The sequence below is a fragment of the Homo sapiens genome, chromosome 9 (genome assembly GCF_000001405.40).
Source record: "Homo sapiens chromosome 9, GRCh38.p14 Primary Assembly".
Classification (NCBI taxonomy): domain Eukaryota; kingdom Metazoa; phylum Chordata; class Mammalia; order Primates; family Hominidae; genus Homo; species Homo sapiens.
In genome coordinates, this window is record NC_000009.12 from 96,103,422 (window position 1) to 96,123,193 (window position 19,772).

At 43.1% G+C, this 19,772-nt stretch overlaps 1 long non-coding RNA gene across 1 annotated transcript, besides 1 other annotated feature; it reads right to left on the reverse strand.

Moving 5' to 3' along the window:
- Nucleotides 1-3,239: 3,239 nt before the first annotated feature.
- LOC158434 (uncharacterized) lies at nucleotides 3,240-12,990 on the reverse strand. The gene is made up of 3 exons (NR_132344.1): nucleotides 12,825-12,990; nucleotides 11,214-11,333; nucleotides 3,240-5,615 (listed from the first exon to the last, which is right to left on the reverse strand). It is a non-coding gene; the product is annotated as an uncharacterized LOC158434 (long non-coding RNA).
- Nucleotides 3,936-4,509: an enhancer, noted in NCBI's record as "OCT4-NANOG hESC enhancer chr9:98869639-98870212 (GRCh37/hg19 assembly coordinates)". NCBI's record gives its function as "activates a minimal SCP1, AML or CMV promoter by ChIP-STARR-seq in naive H9 embryonic stem cells {active_cell/tissue: H9 hESC(naive)}" and the evidence as "EXISTENCE:reporter gene assay evidence [ECO:0000049][PMID:30033119]".
- Nucleotides 12,991-19,772: the final 6,782 nt, after the last annotated feature.

The following is a 19,772-nucleotide window of genomic DNA, read 5'->3' on the forward strand; positions in this document are numbered from 1 at the left end:
CCACTGCACCCGGCCTTCCTTTTTCTTTCCTTTTCTTTTCTTTTTTGGGTACAGGGTCTTGCTCTGTCACCCACACTGGAGTGCAGTGGCACAATCATAGCTCACTGTAGCCTCAACCTTGGCTCAAGCAATCCTCCCACCTCAGCCTCCCAAGTAGCTAGGACTACTAGCATGCACCACAAGGCCCAGCTAATTTTTATTTTTATTTTGTTGTAAAGACAGGGTCTCATTGTGTCGCCCAGTATGGCCTCAAACTCCTTGCTTCAAGCAATCCTCCCACCTCAGCCTCCCAAAGTGCTGAGATTACAGGTGTGAGCCACTGTGCTCGGCCTTCTTTCTTAATATAGGCATTACAGCTATAAAGTTCCCTCTAAGCACTGCTTTCACTGAATACCAAAAGTTATGGTATATTGTGTCTTGATTTTCATTCATCTCAGACTCTTTTCAGATTTCCCTTTTGACTTCTTTGACCTGCTGGTTATTTGGGAGCGTGTTGTTTTATTTCCACTTATCTACGAGTTTCCCAAATTCTTTCTACTCTCTACTTTGATTTCTACTTTCATTTCACTGCAGTCACAGGACATACTTTTGTATTATTTCGGTCTTCTAAATTTACTTGTTTGTTTTATGGCCTAGCACATGGCCTATCATGGAAACCATGCCATGTGCATTTGAGAAGAATGCAGATTCTGTTGTTGTTTGGTGGAGCGTTCTATAGATATCTGTTAGGTATCATTTGTTTATAGTGTTGTTTAGGTCCTTTATTTCTTTGTTGATCATTTGTCTAGTTGTTCTATCCCTTATTGAAATTGGGGTATTAAAGTCTACAATTATTATTGTTGAATTGGCTATTTCTCCCTTCATTTCTTTCTGTTTTTCCTTCATGAATTTTAGTACATTATTAAGTGGATTTATGTTCATAATTGTTATATCTTCCTGATGAGTTGATCTTTTATCATTATAAAATATCCTTCTTTATCTCTAATAACAGTTTTTGCTTTAGAGTCTATTTTGTCTGATATCAGTATAGCCACTCTAGCTTTTATGTGGTGGTTGTTTGCATAATACATCTTTTTTCCTTGCTTTTATGTTCAGTCTGTTTGTATCTTTGAATCTAATGTGTGTCTCCTGTAGACAGCATATAGTTGGATCACGTCTTTTTTATTCTAGTGTGACAATTTCTTTATTTTGATTGGATTGTTCATTCACATTTTAATGTTATTATTGATATAATTAAATTTATGTCTGACATTTTGCTTTTTATGTTCTATATGTCTCATATCTTTTTTGTTCCTCTATTCTCCCTTTACTCTTCTTTTGTATTAAGTGAATATCTTTGAATGTAGCATTTTATCTTCTTTACTGATTTGTTTCACTATATTATTTTAGTTTTTTTAATGGTTGCTCTGAGTTTACCCTATACATCTTATCAGAATCAACTTCTGATTTATACTATTAGTAGCTTTATTCCAATGATATGTAGAAACATTATGCTTATATAGCTATATTCCCTTTTCTCCCATCTTTGTTGCAGAATCATTATTGTACATATTAGATCTATTAATGTTACAAACCCAACAATACATTTTTATAATTATTATTTTACCATCTATCTTCACTTTCTTAGTTCAATAGAGCTTTGCTTTCTCCCACCTCCTTTGTGCATTACTGGTAAATATGTATATCCTACATATTTATACATTATAGACCCCAAAATATATTATATACATATTATTTTATACTAACTTTTAAAATCAGTTAAGAGAAGGGAAAAAAATTTGTGTTTAAACTATCTTTTATAATTACAGAGTTACCTGTGGTGTTTGTTTGTTGCATGTGAATTCAGATTACATTTTGGGGTCATTTTTTCTCAGCCTGAAAAACTTCTTTTACTATTTTCTGTAAGGCAGGTCTGCTAGCAGCAAATTCTCTCACATTTTGTTTATCTGGGAAAGTCTGTATTTTGCCTTCATTTTTAAAAGAAAGCTTTGCTGGATATAGAATTCTTGGTTTATAGTTTTTTTTTTTTTTTTTTTTTTTTTAGAGTAATTTTTCTCTTGCTCCTTTCAAGATTTTCTCTGTATCTTTAATTCAGCATTTGTACTATGATGTGGCTGTTTAGTATCTCTTTGCTTTTATTTATCTTACTTGAAGTTTGTTGAGCTTTCTGGATGTGTAGGTTATTGCTTTTCAATAAACTTGGGAATACTATGAACAGTTCTATGCCCAAAAATCTGATAACTTAGATGAAATAGACCAATATTTTGAAGGATGCAATCTAGAAAAACTCACACAAGAAGAAATAGACAATCTGAATAGGCTTATATTTATTAAAGAAATTGAATCAATAATTAATAACCTTCTAAAACAGAAAGTACCAGGCCCAGATGAGTTCATTGGTGAATTCCACCAACACTTCAGGAAGAAACTATACCAATTCCCTTATAAGCTCTTTCAGAAGATAGATGAAAAGGGAATACTTTCTAACTCATTCGATGACGCTAGCATTATCCTAGTACCAAAAGCAGAAAAAGACATTACAAGAAAAGAAAACTACAGACAAATATCTATCAGTAAATTTGGGGAGCTTCCAGACACTAGTTCTTCAGAAAAAAAAAAAATTGAGACAGGGTCTCGCTCTTTCACCCAGGCTGGAGTGCAGTGGCACGATCATAGCTTACTGTAGTGCAGAAATCCCGAGCTTAAAAAAATCTTCCACCTCAGCCTTCTGAATAGCTGGGACTACAGGTGCACATCACCACACCCAGCTATTTTTTTTAACAGAGGTGAAGTCTCACTAGGTTGCCCAGGCTGGTCTCAAACTCCTGAGCTCAAGTGATCTTCCCACTTAATCTTCAAGATTTTTCTGCTCCTTTCTCTCCTTTCCTTCTGATACTTCCATTACATGTATGTTGGTGCACTTAATGGTGTCTCACATTTTCTGAAGTGCTCTTCACTTTTCATTATTCCTTCTTCTGTTCTTCAGCTTGCATAGTCTCTATTGATCTATCTTCAATTTCACATATTCTTTCTTCTGCCAGTTCAAATCTACTTTTGAGCCCCTTTAGTGAATATTTCATTTCAATTATTGTACTTTTCAAATCCAGAATTTCCATTTGATTATTCTGTCTCTCTGTTGGCATTCTCTATTTGATGGAACATGGTCATCATCCCTTCTTTTAGCTCTGTGAACATGCTTATAACAGGTTTTTTGAGGGTTTTTTTTTTTTCTTTTTTTTGACAGGGTCTCACTTTGTCACCCAGGCTAGAGCACAGTGGTGTGATAGATGCCTAGCCTCACTCTCCTGGGCTCAAGCAATCCTCCCACCTCAACCCCTCAAAGTGCTGAGATTACAGGCACACTCAGCCTATGTCTTATCATTCTTAAAGTTAGTTTCTTTCTCTGCTTTTTTTCAGGTGTATGGATCATATTATACTTTCTTGTTTGTTTGCATGCCTTGTAATTTTTTGTGAGAAACTGGACATTTTAGATAATATATTCTACTGACTCTGGATATTGGTCTTTCCCTCCTTCAGGACTTGTTATTGTTATTTGCTTATTGATTGTTTTTAGTGACTGCCTGGTTTATTTTCATGAAGTAAAGTTGACACTTGAACAAAGTAGGGGTTATGGGCATTGACTGCCTATGCAGTAAAATAATTGTGTATAACTTTTGATGCCCCAGAACTTTACTAATAGCCTACTGTTGACCAGAAGGAGCCTCACTGATAACACAGCTAGTCAATTAACATATATTTTGTGTGTTATATGTATTATATACTGTACTCTTTCAGTAAAATAAGTTACAGAAAAGAGCATATTATTAAGAAAATCCTAAGGAAGAGAAAATACATTTACTATTCATTAGGTGGAAGTAGATCATCATAAAGATCTTTATCCACAACATCTGCATGTAGAGTATGCTGCAGAGGAGGGAGAAGAATAGGGGTCAGTCTTGTCTCAAGGTTGGCAGTGGTGGAAAAAAATTCATGTATAGGTGGATTCACGCAGTTCAAACCTGTGTTGTCCAAAGGTCAACTGTATATTTTCCCTCCCAAAGCGTTAAGCCTCTCATATTGCTCCCTAAAGAGGTTCAGCTTTGCATATGCCCACAGTCGTGCTGGGATGACAGTGGTTTTGCTAGGGCTCTCTGGCACTTCCCTAACCACATCCAGCTGTTAAGCTCCATTAATTGGTGGCCAATTGCCCTATTGTTTTCAACAATATCCTGGGGCATAAAGTGTTCCACAAACTAACCCCATTAAACTGTGGCTCCTTTGAAAGAATAGTTTCTGAGGTCAGTGTTTGATATTTGTTCTGACCCCCAGAAGGGTTCCTTCCCAGTGGTTTATTCTGGGTTCTCTCCTGCAAACTAGCCTCTCCCAATTGCCCTTCACCACAACCTCCACTGTGTTTTCAGAGCATACTTAGGCTTAATTTTCTCCAAGCTCTGTTGAAAATGAAGTCAGTTCCCTTGGGAAGAGATTAAGAATTACCTTTTTTTCTCTGAACTGCTTCTTCTCCCCTACCTTGCAACAAAATATCTGAACCAGAGCTCTGGAGCTGGGGGTAGAAACAATGGTAAGCTTTTCTCTGAGTGACACCCCCTGCCTAGGGGCTGGGTGCTTGGTGGAGGAGTTGGGGATAGCCAGTGGTCTTCTTAACTTGAGCCTTCTGGCATGGAAACACCACCTCAAGAGCCAGGGCAAAAGTGACCAGGGCCACAGTCTTCTCAGCATGTCACACCCAAGGTAGAGTCTCCTTCCATGAGTAGCAGGTAGGGGTGGCAGCCCCCACCTCTCAACTGCATTCATCTGAGACAGCCTCAGCAACAGGGAGCTGGGGGCAGGATGAAGGACACTGCCATCCTACTCCTCCCTGGAAGGAGGCCCTCTGTGCTGGGAGGAGAGGAGACCTGTGTTTCAGCAGTAGCTGTCTGGAGGGAAATTGCCACCGTGCTGAGCTGGGAGTGGGGAGGAAAGAAGTGGTCTTGTTTCAAATCCCACAGATTCACCTCTTCTACCAAATTAGTACATTTTCTTGAATACAGGTTCCTTCCTTTGCTGTTTTTCCTTGGGACTATTTCCAGAAGCCTTAAATGGCTGTTTTTACCAGTTTACCTGGAGGAGTGGGTCAGGCGGCTCCTCATACTGTCATGCTAGAAACTGATCTTATTCTGAGTAGTTTTGAGTAAGTAGCTATTATCAATACCACTTTGTATAAGTAACAAAGACATAGCTTTCTAGCATAGCTTTCTTCATGGTGATATAGGAGACTAGAAATGAGGTGTTGAAGTCCTAACCCCAGTACCCATGAACAAGGCCTTATTTGGAAACAGAGTCTGCAGATGCCATCAAGCGAAGAAGATATACTAGCATGCCTAATCCATTTACTGCTGCCCTTATGAGAAGAGGAAAATGTAAACACAGACAGACACATAGTGAGGAGGCCGCATGATGACTGAGACTGGAATGATGCGACGACAAGCCAAGGAAGCCACGGATTGCTGGAAACCACCAGAAACTGGGAGAGACAAAGAAGAGTTCTCTCCAACAGACTTCAGAGAGAGTATGGCACTGCTGACATCTTGATTTCACACTTGTGGCCTCCAGAACTGTAAAATGGTAGATTTTTATTGTTGTAAGCCACCCAGCTTGTGACACTTTGTTATGGCAGCCCTAAAAAACGAATACAGGGGCCATTTGGTAGCATCGTCTGGTGGGTGGCTGGCTTGAAAGGAGTTTCCAGAAAGCCATCTGGAAGGGTCACCCCCATTCTGTTTCCCATTTAACATCGTTCCTTCTCCTTTTTTGTTGCACAATCTGGTTCTATGGGGAGATTACATTTCCATAAACTACTTTATCAGTTACTTCTTGAATTTGGGGAATTCTTGGTTTCTAAAAACTTCTTTTTTAAAATACATTTTAACTACCATACACAAAAATGTACAATAACCCCATCTCACTGTTTAACAAGGCAATAATTAGTCCCCAAGTTGGCATATCTTCCAAGTCCCTTATTCGAATTCTCTTTGCTTTGGTGACTGGGTTACTGCCCTATAAAACAGCCCAGCAGTGCTAAGAGCTGCAGGGTGGGGGCCAGCCAGAAGTCAGATTAACCAACACCTTTTTCCCCCATATTTGGCATATTTTTATTCTTGGCAACAGTATATAAAACACACCGTTTGCAACATTTATATTTTTCCTAACACCTAATAATTTACTCTTTTATGGTGTAAAATCTGTTGCTACAGACCTTTTTTCAATTTATTTCTCACATCTCTGTGTCTCTCTATAATATGACTAATCCCAAGACCCAGTGAAATTTAAGGTGCCTGCACCGATGCACATAATGGTGATGAGAAAGTTTCCGATCAAAGGCAGTGATGGAGTGTCTTAAACAACTAACAATAGCTGCTGCAGCTTAAAGACATCTCCGAATGCTACTTGGAAGTGATGATTATATAATGCTGAGCACTCAAAGGTCTGAGGAAACTCTGACTCATTTTGCACTGCTAAGGATGTTGGACTGCAAGAAGAAGTATAAGAAAAAAAGGGGGGGAGGGGAGAAGGGAGGGGAGGATGCCCCCAAAGATTGACTATTTAGAAGACCATTCGCACTTCTGCTCCATATCTGCTGTACTTCTCTTTTGTTATTTTGTTTTTTGGTTTTTTTGTTTGTTTGTTGTTTTTGGAGACAGGGCTTCACTCCATTGCCCAGGCAAGAGTACAGTGATGCAATCACAGCTGACTGCATCTTCAACTTCCCAGGCTCAAGTGATCCTCCCGCCTCAGCCTCCTTAGTAGCTGGGACCACAGGCACATGCCACCACACCTGGATAATTTTTTAAAGATTTTTTTTGCAGAGACAGGGTCTCGTCATGTTGCCCAGCCTGTTCTCCAACTCCTGGCCTCAAGTGATCCTCCTGCCTCGGCTTCCCAAAGTGCTGGGATTACAGGTGTGAGCAACCGTGCCCACCTCTCCTGTACTTCTTAGGGGAATGGGCAACATGCACACAAGGAAAAATGACGTCCAAAGAAAAGGCAAAACCTGACAGTAAAATGAGTGCTCTAGATGCCCAAGAGTGACATCCAAAGAAAAGGCAAAACCTGACAGTGAAATGAGTGCTCTAGACGCCCAAGAGCGACGTCCAAAGAAAAGGCAAAACCTGACAGTGAAATGAGTGCTGTAGATGCCCAAGAGCATGCAAGGTGCTCACACACCGTGCAAGGTGTGTGAGACTCTGTGTGTGTGTACTTCACTGTATGTTGTCTGTGTGTGTTTATCACTAGCATTTGAGCATGGCTAGAAGGCGCAGAGTCTTCTCATCCAACTTCTTTCTCAGGATCACCACCCTGGCTTTCCCTACCCCTTCCTTTTCCACCTAGTCTGTGGCAACATAGAGCACCCCTTAGTTAGTAACCTATCAGACTCTCCCTCAGTGCCATTCAGCCACCAATTTTGGTCCTATGACTTACAAATCTAAGAAAACATGTTCTAATATGTCTCCATGGGACTTGCATGGCTTTGATTTGTAAAAATTATCGTTTGTGTTTCCTTGGGCATGCATCCAGAACCGGGACACCCTGCCAGGGGTAAGATTTCCACTTCCCATTATTCTTCCACCGTGTCCCTCTTCTGTTAGAGTCTTGGAGGCCTAAACCCATAATGGGTTGAAATTCTCCTCTGATTCCTAAAAGGCTAAGAACAACCTGGAATATTTTGTAGATAACATGGAAGAAAGACCTTGACTATTTTGTAGATAATATGGAAGCTTAGTTTTTGTTTTGTTTTGTTTTTTAATTATCTGGCAATGGTGGACAAGACTGATTAAAGTGAGAAGAAGAAACTGGAGGCAGACAGAAGAATGTGGAGGAGCCTGTGGCTGTAACCGGAGCAGGGAGCAGGAACAGCACGAACGAAGTCAGCCTGTGGAAGCAGAAAGTGAGGGGAATTCTGCACAGAGACAACCGTCAAGTCTGTGCCTGCTGGACATTGGGAGCCACAGAGAGGCAGGAGCAGGCGACAGCGTGGAGCTGCGAGCCTGGCCAGCAGAAAGCGAATTGAAAAATGTTCCTAAAGGTGACATAAGCTTGCATTTGAAAAGCACCTCCGAAAGCTTCCCAGCCTCAAAGCCAGAATCGCCTTCTGATGCAGTTAGGCACCACAAGAGCTTCCCCACAAGAGCTTAGTGTCCGTTTCAGCAGTGTCCATTTCTTAGCCACAAGAGCTAAGCATGTGTTTCAAAGCCCTGGAGGGATGTAAGCAGCACAATCGGGTGACTCTAAGGTCAGCCCTTTGGGAACCAGGAAAGACACCCACGTATTTGTTTCTTTGGCAGCAGCCTCTCTCCCCAGGTTCTGGGTAAGCGCCATAGCAGAAGCTCAGGGCACCCTGACTTCTCGATGTGGAGAAGGTGTCCACCTCTTCTCCCAGACATGTCTTGAGCAGACAGACAAGGCCCCCTGTTTCACAAAGTGGATTTCATGGCAGTGACATAAATAAAGAGCCTGAGGATGGGATTGTGCTACTTGCCAAACTTCAGTCCTGTCTCTTTGCTGCGCGTGATAATCTGCCCTTCCTGCTAGACCTGCTTAGGTCAGACTTGGAAGTGAGAAATGAATGGAGAACGCCCGTTTCCCAGCCACCTCGCGCTCCTGCCTTTTTTGCCCACCTTCTGTCCTGGATTCCTTTCCCTTCTCTAGATTCAAGAATCAAGAGTTGATTCAGGTCCCAGTGAAAATAACGCAGGGAGAAGCAGGCAGTCACTGTGAACTGGCTGAAATAATTGACCAGGAATTTGCATTTGGGCACAGGCTCTCTTTGGGATCTCCATCTTGTACGGTTCTCTACCCTACCCACACCCTGCACCACTGGACTGGCCTAGAAGTTCTTTTCTTAGTCGTGCTACATGTCATCAAAACTGAACAAAGGAGTAAGACACTGGGGAAAATACCTCTTTGTTGCCTCCCGGCACCCCCTTCCTCATCTGACCAAAATGTTACCTTTACCTGCCAATGTTGGTCAGCCAGACACCTGAATGGGAATTTAAGTATGAAATTCAGAGCCTTCTGATTAAACCAGTAAAGTCTAAACAAGTCACAGACTCAAAAGACAGCTAAGCTCTCCACCGTGCCAGCCGAGTAGGCAACATGGGAGGTGGCCACTCAAATGAATGTGCCTCACCTATGCCAGACTAGACAATGCCTTGAACACCAGCATCCCAGGGGAATAATAGGCCCTTGGTACATACATAGTCAGCCTTAAAAATGAACTTTCCCTGCCGGACAATGGTGGCTCACACCTGTAATCCCAGCACTTTGGGATTTGCGAAAGCAGGAGGATCACTTGAGGCCAGGAGTTGACAAGCCTGGGCAATATAGAGAGACCTTGTCTCTATAAAAAAAAAATTAAAAATTATAAAATTATAAATTATTTTTAAAAATGATTACGTTTTCCACTGCCAGTTAAATGAAATGCTTAGCCTTACCTGTTTCCTTTCCCTTCTTAAAATGCAAGTGCCTTTAGGAAAATGACTACTTATCTAAATCTTTCTCACTTTAGTGTGAAATAATTTGTTAGATAACTTTCCAATATGATTGCCAGCCAAGAACAGGCCCCAAGAGGACAAGGCAGAGGACAAGGAGATTGACTGCAAGCAGGGAAACAAGCATAGATGACAGTGAGGTCATCCTACAGAACCTGCTGCCTGGGACGCCACCAATGGCACTCTCAGTGGACACTCACACCATCATTGGTCCTTGCTGCCCTCCGCTGGGAGCCTGTCTCCACTGTCACCTCCATGAGTTCTCTATGTCACTTCTTCAGGAGCCCACCATCTGAATGGGAGGACCTGGCAGAACTGGCTCCACTTCCTGTCCCCACTTCCAGAAGACAGGTGGTTAGAAGATTCATCTGCACACAGTGGGAAACAGGGCCAGACCCCCGCAGATCTTGGCATTTCCTCCAAAGAGACAGGCTGCCCAGTGTGGCTGCAAAACACAGCAAATGTCCCCTAGAGTAGGTAAAATTGGAGAACGTATTAGAGTCCTTGGGCCTCAGGCATATTAAATCTTTTTACATGGCTGGGCGAGGTGACTCATGCTTATAATCCCAGCACTTCAGGAGGCCAAGGCAGGAGGATCTCTTAAGCCCAGAAGTTTGAGATCAGCCTGGGCAACATACAAAAGATGAAAAAATTAGCTGGGCATGGTGGCACACACCTGTAATCCCAGCTCCTTCAGAGGCTGAGATCAGTTGAGCCTGGGAAGTCGAGGCTGCAGTGAGCTGTGATCGCACACTGCACTCACTCCAGCCTGGGTGACAGAGGGAGGCCCTGTCTAAAATAAATAAATAAATCTATCTTTTTACTTGTTAGTTCATTTAATTTGCACAGCTCTGGGGAGAGTTCATTACCTCCAGCTTTATGGATCTCCAAGACTAAAGAGATGGAGTAACTTGCTCAAGGTCCCACAGTTAGAAGGCCATGAACAGAGATTCCAGGGTGTAGCTGGTGGCTCCAAAGCCCATGCCCTTCCCAGCCAGCTTCCCCTGGCATCTGAGGGGTGGCCTGGGCATCAGGTGTCTGTCTATAGAGGAGGGTCTTGGAGACGGTGTCTTAGTGGGTGATGGTTGCCATAACAAACTACCACAGCCTGGGTGGCTGCCGCAGAACTTATTTTCTCACATGCCTGGAGCTTTGCCGAGATCAAGGTGTTGGCAGGATTGATTTTTTTCTGATGCCTGTCTCCTTGACTGGCAGAGGGCCGTCTTCTCCCTGTGTCTTTGCATGGTCTTTCCTCTGCACATGTCTGCGTCCTAGTTCCCTTTTCTTACAAGGACATCCATCATATTGGATCAGGACCCACCCTAATGACCTCATTAACATAATTGCCTCTTTAAAGGCCTTATCTCCAAATACAGTCTTATTCTGAAGTACTAAAGGGTTAGGATTTGTTTTTGTCTTTGTTTTTGTTTTTGTTTTGAGACAGAGTCTCACTCTGTCACCCAGCCTGGAATGCGGTGGCACAATCACAGCTCATTGTAGCCTCCAACTCCTGGGCTCGAGCAATCCTCCTGCCTCAGCCTCCTGAGTAGCTGGGACTACAGGCATCCACCACCATGCCTGGCTAATTTCTTTTATTGTGGACATGGGGTCTCACTGTGTTGCCCAGGCTGGTCTTGAACCCCTGGCCTCAAGCAATCCTCTCACCTCTCAAAGTGCAGGGATGACAGATGTGAGCCATCACACCAGGACTTTAACGCAGGAATCAGGAGCAGCTGGAGGACAATTCATCCCGAAACGGAAGGGACACCAGTCAGGGAATTATTTCTGACAGGAGATGATAGGGAGAGCAGTGATGAGGCCCAAACAGATAAGCCCTGCGCCCCCACTTCCCAGGTCTGATGAATGATGCCCCACCTGCCTTCACCTTCATCCAGACTACTGCTGGTTTAGTCTTTATTTTCAGCCTCGTTAACCCCAAGGCAAGGGTGTCATTTTTCGATTCTCAATGTAACTTCTCTGCTCCGGGTTAAATTATCCTTCAATCAATGGTGTTTTTGCCCATTTTGCATAGCAAGATTCCGTGTAGTTCTGGCCTCTAAACTGCCAGACCTATGCTGGGACACCCATGCATGAAGGCCTGCTATCAACTGAATTGCATCCTCCCTAAACTCATATGTTGACACCCTAACCCCCAAAGTGATGGTGTTTGGGAGATAATCAGGTTTAGATTTGAAGCTCGTGGTGGAAGAGAAGCTAGAGAGCTTTCCTTTGCCTTCTGTTCTCCTACGAGGACACAGCCAGAAGGCAGCCGTTTACCAGTCAGAAAGAGAGCCCTCACCAGAAACTGACCATGCTGGCACCCTCATCTTTCACTTCCAGCCTCCAGAACTCTGAGAAAATTAATTTCTGTTGTTTAAGCCACCAGTCCAGGATATTTTGTTATGAAGCGACTATGACAGGGAGGGGAGCTGTTCCACCCCTGCTGCCTCAGCCTGCATGGCTGTCCCTGTCCCCACCTCCTCATCTTTCTATCTTCTTGCCTCTTCCCTTCCCCATCTCTCCTGTGAATTAGCTCCTTAGGGCTGCCATAACAAAAGTACCACAAATGTGGCAGCTTAAAACAAGAGAACTAACATGGTGAAACCACGTCTCTACTAAAAATACAAAAAAAAAAAAAAAAAAAAAAAAAGCCGAGTGTGTTGGCGGGCACCTGTAGTCCCAGCTCCATGGAAGGCTGAGGCAGGAGAATGGTGAACCCGGGAGGCGGAGCTTGCGGTGAGCCGAGATCGCACCACTGCACTCCAGCCTGGGCGACAGAGCGAGACTCCATCTAAAACAAAAAACAAAAAACCACCACCACCAACAACAAAAAACAAACAAGAGAAACTTCCTCTCTCACAGTTTTGGAGACCAAAAGTCCAAAATCAATGTGTTGGCAGGGCCACGATCTCTCTGAAGGTTCTGGGGGGGATCCCTCCCTTGCCTCTTCCAACTTGTGGTGCTTCCTGGCATTTCTTAGCTGTGACAGCATCACTCCCATCTCTGAGTCCAAGTTCACACGGCTTTCTTCCCTCTGTGTCTCTCTGTGTCTCAAATCTTCTCCTTTCTCTTGCAAAAATATCTACTAGTCAATGGACTTAGGTCCCACCCTAAATCCAGGATGATCTCATCTTGAGACCTTTAACTAGATCATATCTGCAAAAATCTCATTTCCAAATAAGGTCACATTTGCAAGGACCGGGGTAAGGACTTGGAGCTATCTTTTCGGGGACACTTTTCTACCCTCCACACCCACTTACCCTTTCCCCACCACACCTCATCTTCCTTCCTCCACATCCTGGAGCTCACTCTGCTGTCCTGTCCTTCGCCTGCAGGCTTTGACCCAGGGCTGGATGGGAGCTGGAGCAGGAGGCCCAGGCATTGCATCTGGTCTCCACAACAAGACGCTCAGTACCTACGAGTCCAACTTTCAGTCTCCAAGTGTGAGCATACAGAGCAATCTCACAAAGAACCTTCTCACTGGGAAGGAAATGGCTTACACATTAACATGAGTGCACTTAGACAAAGAATAGCTGGCAATGTTGCAATGCTGGAGACAAGTCCCAGCAGCCAGTTGTGCCTTGTTAGAGACTCATTGATTTTGGGTGGCCTGGATTCCATTGTCACCAATGATATGATCATATGGGCCATGTTCCAAATGCCTCTGGCTGTGTTCAGAGGATGAGAAGGGGGAGAGTTAAACAAACCCCCATGCAGAATCTGAAGGCTTTATTCATCCACCCTGGCACTGCTTTGCCCACTGAATAAAACATTCTGTACCCAGGGGCAAGCCCAGGCCCCAGCTGGTACCGTTCCCAATGTCCCACAGGCTTCCAGGCTGCCCTTCAGCACAGACTCCTCCAGAACACTGTGCTCAGGGGCCGCCAAGGTTCCAGCTCCAAGATGCAAACTCTGCCCCAATTGCCAAGGGAGTGGCTGTCTTTGCAGGGCATTGTCTGTGAGTCCTTGATCCCTGTCTTCACTAATGGCAATCCCAGGAAACTGCCTGTGAATAAAAGCCTTCTCAGCCCTGGGGAAGAAACAGGCACAGCTGGCTCAAATTGTCCAGCTGAAGACAGAGCTCAGCCTGGAAGGGACACAGCTCAGTTACCACCGTGCCAGGCAGCTCTTCCTTTTATATAAACATTTGAGGGCAGGGTTCTCAAGCCCCGCTGCCCCCTAGTCCTACCTTTTCTCCATTGTGACCACAGAGGGTTTTGTTGTTGTTGTTGTCATTGTTTCTTGGGGGGTTTTTTTGTTTGTTTTTTGTTGTGTCTTGTTTTCTTTTTGAGGCAAAGGGATAACTCTTTCAGAGGGGCACCTGGAACTGTCTGGTGTGGAAGCTTTTCCTCATTCGGCACAATTTCAAACTTGCGAGCTTTCACAAAGGCGTGGGTGACTGTTTTACTCCTTGATAAAAGTCTGGCATATTCAGAGTTACTGAGACCCAGGAGCGGTATCTAATACTTTGGAAACTAGCAAGGGTTGCTTTATTTCCCATTCTTGATTCTACATTGAAAGTGGGGGATCTTGTTATGCAGATCCTAACACTCTGCCCCTCCCCAAATCCAAATGAAAGGCAAGGTCATTTCACTGGAAATGTGGTAAGCAGTTAGCAGACAATGGGATTGTCCCCAGTGCGGGGTGAGGGTGGATAAGAAACACACAGGTGGGACGGTTAACAACATCAGGAGCTGTGGCTTTATGGAAATTTATGTAAGCATGATGAATTGCACACAGCCATTTGTCTCTATTCCCTCCTAACCCTCCATGAAAGTGACAGGAAAGGGACAAAAAGACATTGGCGCACAAAAGCGAAGAGAACATGAAAGGAGTCACAGCAGAGAGAGGTCAACTGAATGACTGCAAGAGGAAGTCAGATCTAGCAGTGAGTAAGTGAACAGACCACAGGATGCAGAAAGCTAGCACTTCAAGGGCTGGGGCAGGAGCTGCTGGGCAGATTCACAACGCAGAACCCAGGGAGTCTTGGGAAGTGGAAGCATAGGGCATTGCTCATGGGGAATATCCCAGTGGGCTAAAAATGAGAGGATTAATTGAAAATCTATAAAAGAAGAAGTCAGAGATTCCCTTGCTTACCTCACTCAGGACTGGGACCACCCCTCCCTCATCCAGAAGAAGACAAGTGGATGGGGGGAGTTGTTGTCACTTTCTAGAGAAGACAAAGGAAAGGGAGTCCAGGCTCAGGACCCAGGTCTAGGTGAAAACAGTGGAGTGTAATAAAAATCAAGCCCTGTGGCATCCCCTTTCCTCACTTGGCTGTGAACTAGGCCAGGCTCAGGAAATTAGAGAATTCTTCTCTGGGGAAACTCATCAATCCCAGAGATAGGATTTGCAGATAATAATGTTTAAGAGTTCCTCAACAAAATAGCCAGTTTCCTTCTGGGAAGTCCTACTGAAAGAGAAACCTTTGCATGCAGAGTTTCCAATAACCTAATTTATTTGTTTGTTTGTTTATTTTTAAATTTTGAGACAGGGTCTTGTGGTTTCACCCAGGCTGGAGTGCAGTGGGGTTATCATGGCTCACTGCCACTTTGACTTCCCAGGCTCAAGCCATCCTCCCACCTCAGCCTCCCAAGTAGCTGGATCTACAGGCATGTGCCATCATGCCCAGCTAATTTTTAAATTTTTTTTGTAGAGACAGGGTCTTGCTTTGTTACCTAGGCTTTTCTCGAACTCCTGGGCTCCAGCAATCCTCCCACCTTTGCCTCCCAAAGTGCTGGGATTATAGGCATGAGCCACCACACCTGGCTTCCAATCATCTTTTTAGTCTAGCCATTTGCCCTTTAAATATGAATGGACTCAGGAGTAGCAGATATTTGAGGAAAGTCTTTACGAAAGAAAGAAAAAAACATAATAAAGGAATGAGAGGTAATATAGAGAACAAGATACCTTTATAAAATTTGTAATTTATTTTTTAGTGAAAAAGGGAGATGTTGCATCCATAAAACAAGATCAAGGTGCCATATTAAGAGGAACACATAAAAATGATAACATGAAATTTTAAAACTTTCTCATAAAAGTTGGAAGATAAAGAGGATCTCTGATGCTAGAATCATAGAGCTTTTGCTTAAGAATTGCTTACAATGTTTTTCAGATTCTGAATTCTAGCAGAACAGCTGACATCAACCAGTGTGAAAACCCTTATAGAAGAACTATATCAGCATGAGAATGTTTCTTCATCTCCCCTTCCCATGACTTTACCCTGAATTCATCAATCAATCAATGATCCCCACACCTCAGTCCACTCCAAACCCCTTAACATCCCTAGCCCCAAACTCCTCAGGGAGGTGGATGTGCGGTTTCCTCCCATCTCATTAGGCTGCCCTATAATTATTTAATTTGTTCTCTGCTGCTCCCTGGTGTCTCAGCATATTGACTTGCTGTGCATTGGGCAGATGAATCTATTACAAGAGTCCCACCAACTACTGTAGTATTATGACAACAGATCACCTTGGGATTTCAAAATACTGGGAAAAGTGAGAAAACTCTAAATCTTCTGGAGAGACAACCAGAGCCACATAAAGGAGCAGTGTATTAGCCCATTCTCTTTTTTCTTTTTTTTTTTTGAGACGGAGTCTCGCTCTGTCACCCAGGCTGGAGTGCAGTGGCACAATCTCGGCTCACTGCAAGCTCCACCTCCCAGTTTCACACCATTCTCCTGCCTCAGCCTCCCTAGCAGCTGGCACTACAGGTGCCCACCACTCCCCCTGGCTAATTTTTTGTATTTTTATTAGAGATGGGGTTTCACTGTGTTAGCCAGGATGGTCTCGATCTCCTGACCTCGTGATCCACCCGCCTCAGCCTCCCTAGTCCATTCTTACACTGTTAATAAAGACATACCCAAGACTGGGTAATTTATTAAAGAAAAGAGGTTTAATGGACTCACAGTTCCACATGGCTGGGGAGGCCTTATAATCATGGTGGAAGGCAAAGGAGGAGCAAAGGCACATCTTACATGGCGGCAGGCAAGAGAGCATGTGTGGGGCAACTTCCCTTTATATAACTGTCGGATCTCATGAGACTTATTCACTATCACAAAAACAGCACAGGAAATCCTGCCATCATGATTCAATCACCTCCCACAACACGTGGGGATTATGGGAGCTATAATTCAAGATGACATTTGGGTGGGGACACAGCCAAACCATATCAAGCAGGAATCAGAATGGTACTGGGGTTTTCAAGAGCAAGACTAGAAGCCAGAAGAGTGATGCCTTCCAAGTGATTTCCAACCTAGCATTTTTAGCCCCCAACCCACAATGTAAAAACATTTTACTTTCAGTAAAAGTGTGAAAGTAAGATAAACACATTTTCAGACATGCCAGTCTCAAAATATTAATTAAAACACCACTACTTTTTATTGATTTTATTTTCAGGAAGCTGGTGGAGGTTGTGTGTCATCAAGCAAGAAAACATACCAGGAATGAGGAAGATGTAGGACACAGGAACAGGATATCCATCAAAAACGAGAACTCCAGGGTTGATGGAGAAGAACCCTAGGTTGATGACAGCCCTATAGCTGGCCTAAGGAAACACCAGTCCATACTGGAAGAGAAAAGTTCTGGAAAAGATATGGAAAAGAAATCTATGGTAAAGGGAGAACTGAGTAGAATACCTGATAGATTTAAACAGAAATCTCTAGGAAGATAATCACCAAGAAAAACAGGAGTCACATAGATTACCTGATGTATTGGAACGTTTTGAGAAATGTATACTCAGGCTAAGAAGTTGAGGATGAGTAAATGACAGGTACATTACACAATAGGAAATGAAAATTAAGGCAACTAGAAACTCCCAGGGAAACAAAATAGTGATCATGAAAGAAAAAAAAAACAAAGTACACTATTGCACTTGGTTGTTTATATAATCATGATATTGTAAAAACCGAACTTTGATTTAACCAAAAATTAAACTGTAGAGATAACTATATTGGGAGAGTGTGGAGAGGAAGTCTAAATAAAAGGAGTCAAAATTTATATTTAATGGTGAGAAGTTAATTGAGATCTAAAACTGAAAAAATTAGGAAATAGCAACGTAAACTTGTTGCTTCACAGTATGGACATAAACATCAGAAGAAGGAACTAAAAGAGTTAAAATGTTTGCCATAGGAGTGGGAATGAGGGTGAGTGGGGCGGGTGACAAGACTACTTTGGTTTTGTGTTGTTGTAAAATCCATTCACTTTTAAAATTGTATTAAACTATGTTCATATGTTGATAAAAATTAAAGTTAAAATGTTTGTTGGAGGTCTCTGACTTTGACGTTTAGGAAACAATGCTATCAGCATTTTTTAAAGTACTTGCTAAATACTTGCTCACATATGGCAAGTTTTAGGCACCAGAACAATGATTTATACTGCATCCCTCCTGAGAAAATGTGGTTTGACCACAATGAGATGTCACCTCACATGTGTTAGGAGGGTTTTATCAAGATGAAAAATAATAAGTGTTGGCCAGGATGTGGAGAAAAGGGAACCCTTGCACACTGTTGGTGGAAATGTAAATTAGTGCAACCATTATGGAAAACAGTCGGTGGCTCCTCAAAAAATTAAAAATAGAATGACCATGTGATCCAGCAATCTCACTTGTGGATATGGGAAATGATATCAGTATGTCTAAGTATGCCCAAGAGATACCTCTACTCCTGTGTTCACTGAAGCGCTATTCACAATGGCCAAGATAAGGAATCAATCTAAGTGTCCATCAATGGAATGAATGGATAAAGAAAATGTGGTATTCAGCCTTAAAAAAATAAGGGAACCCCGTCATTTTCCAACTATATGGGTAAACCTGGAGGACATTATGTTAACTGAAATAAGCCAGGCACAAAAGACAATACCTCAAGATCTCACTCATATGTGGAATCTTAAAAAGTCAAACTCAGAGGAGCACCAGGGACTGGATGGGGGAGGGATGCTGGGAAGATGTTTGTTAAAGGATACAAAATTTTGGTGAGATAGGTGGAATGAGTTCAAGAGATCTATTGCACAACATGGCGACCCCATTTAATAACAATGTACTGCATTCTTGAAAATTGCTGAGAGTACATTTTAATTGTTCTCACTGCGAAAAGAGAGCTAAGTATGTGAGGTAATGCATGTTAATTACTCTGATTTAGTTATTCCACAAGGTATACACACTTTAAAATGTGTTGTACATGATAAATATATACAATTTTTATTTGCAAATTGAGAGTAAATAAGAAAGAAAAATACGTTTTGATATACAGTATCAGTTTTGTTCAAAAAACAGCTGTAGAGCACTTACTGTGTTCCTGTCACTGCAGAGAGGGCTGGGGATAGAAAGGTGAAAAAAGCTCCCTCTTTACCCCTGAAGATCCTAGAATCTGGTGGTGCAGGCAAAGACCTGTGGTGAGCTCAGGCCTGGGGAGGAACCCACGGCATTGTGGGAGAAGCTCAGGGGCTGAGGAGGAGCCCACGGCACTGTGGGAGAAGCTTGGGGTCTAGGGAGGAGCCCTGGCATTGTAGGAGGAGCTCGAGGCCGGGAGGATACCATGGCATTGTGGGAGAAGCTAAGTGCTGGGAGGAGCCCACAGCACTGTGGGCGAGGACACAGGACAGTCTAAGGTGGTCATTTTGATGTAAGTATTTCAGGTGCTTTCTAAGCAATGCACATTATTAACATTACCCTAGTGAGACACACTTTTGCTGCCTGCGTTATTTCAGATCTGCACATAGTTTTATTCATATGTAATGCTTATATAACAAAAAATACAACAGTTTTTTTAAATGTCTGTTAAAGCTGAAGGTGTTATTTGCCCCTCCAAAATTTCATTTTCAGCAATATAAATTCTATCAAATACAGAGAGAATCGTTAGACATGTGATTGCACTCTAAGCTGAGAATAAAGGATTGCATCATGACCCAAATATTTGTTAGAACCACAGCAGCTAACATGGTATGTAATATGTTCAACATATCCAGTCAAAATGACAACTCCTCTGGATTCAAAAAGAAACCAAGTGGTCATGGGTCACCTGGAGTATTATCTGCTCAGTACATTCCTCACAGGGCCTTGCCATAGGGCCTAGCCTTGGCGGGAGGGCGCCACACACAATCCAGGCCCATGGAGTCCTCCCCTGGGATCAGAGGTGGAGGAGTAGCCCTCTCTTTTCCTTTGGAACACAAGTTGTACAGATGTCATGTCAGAGCATTTTCCTCCATGTCCCCTGCAGCAGCAGGAAGC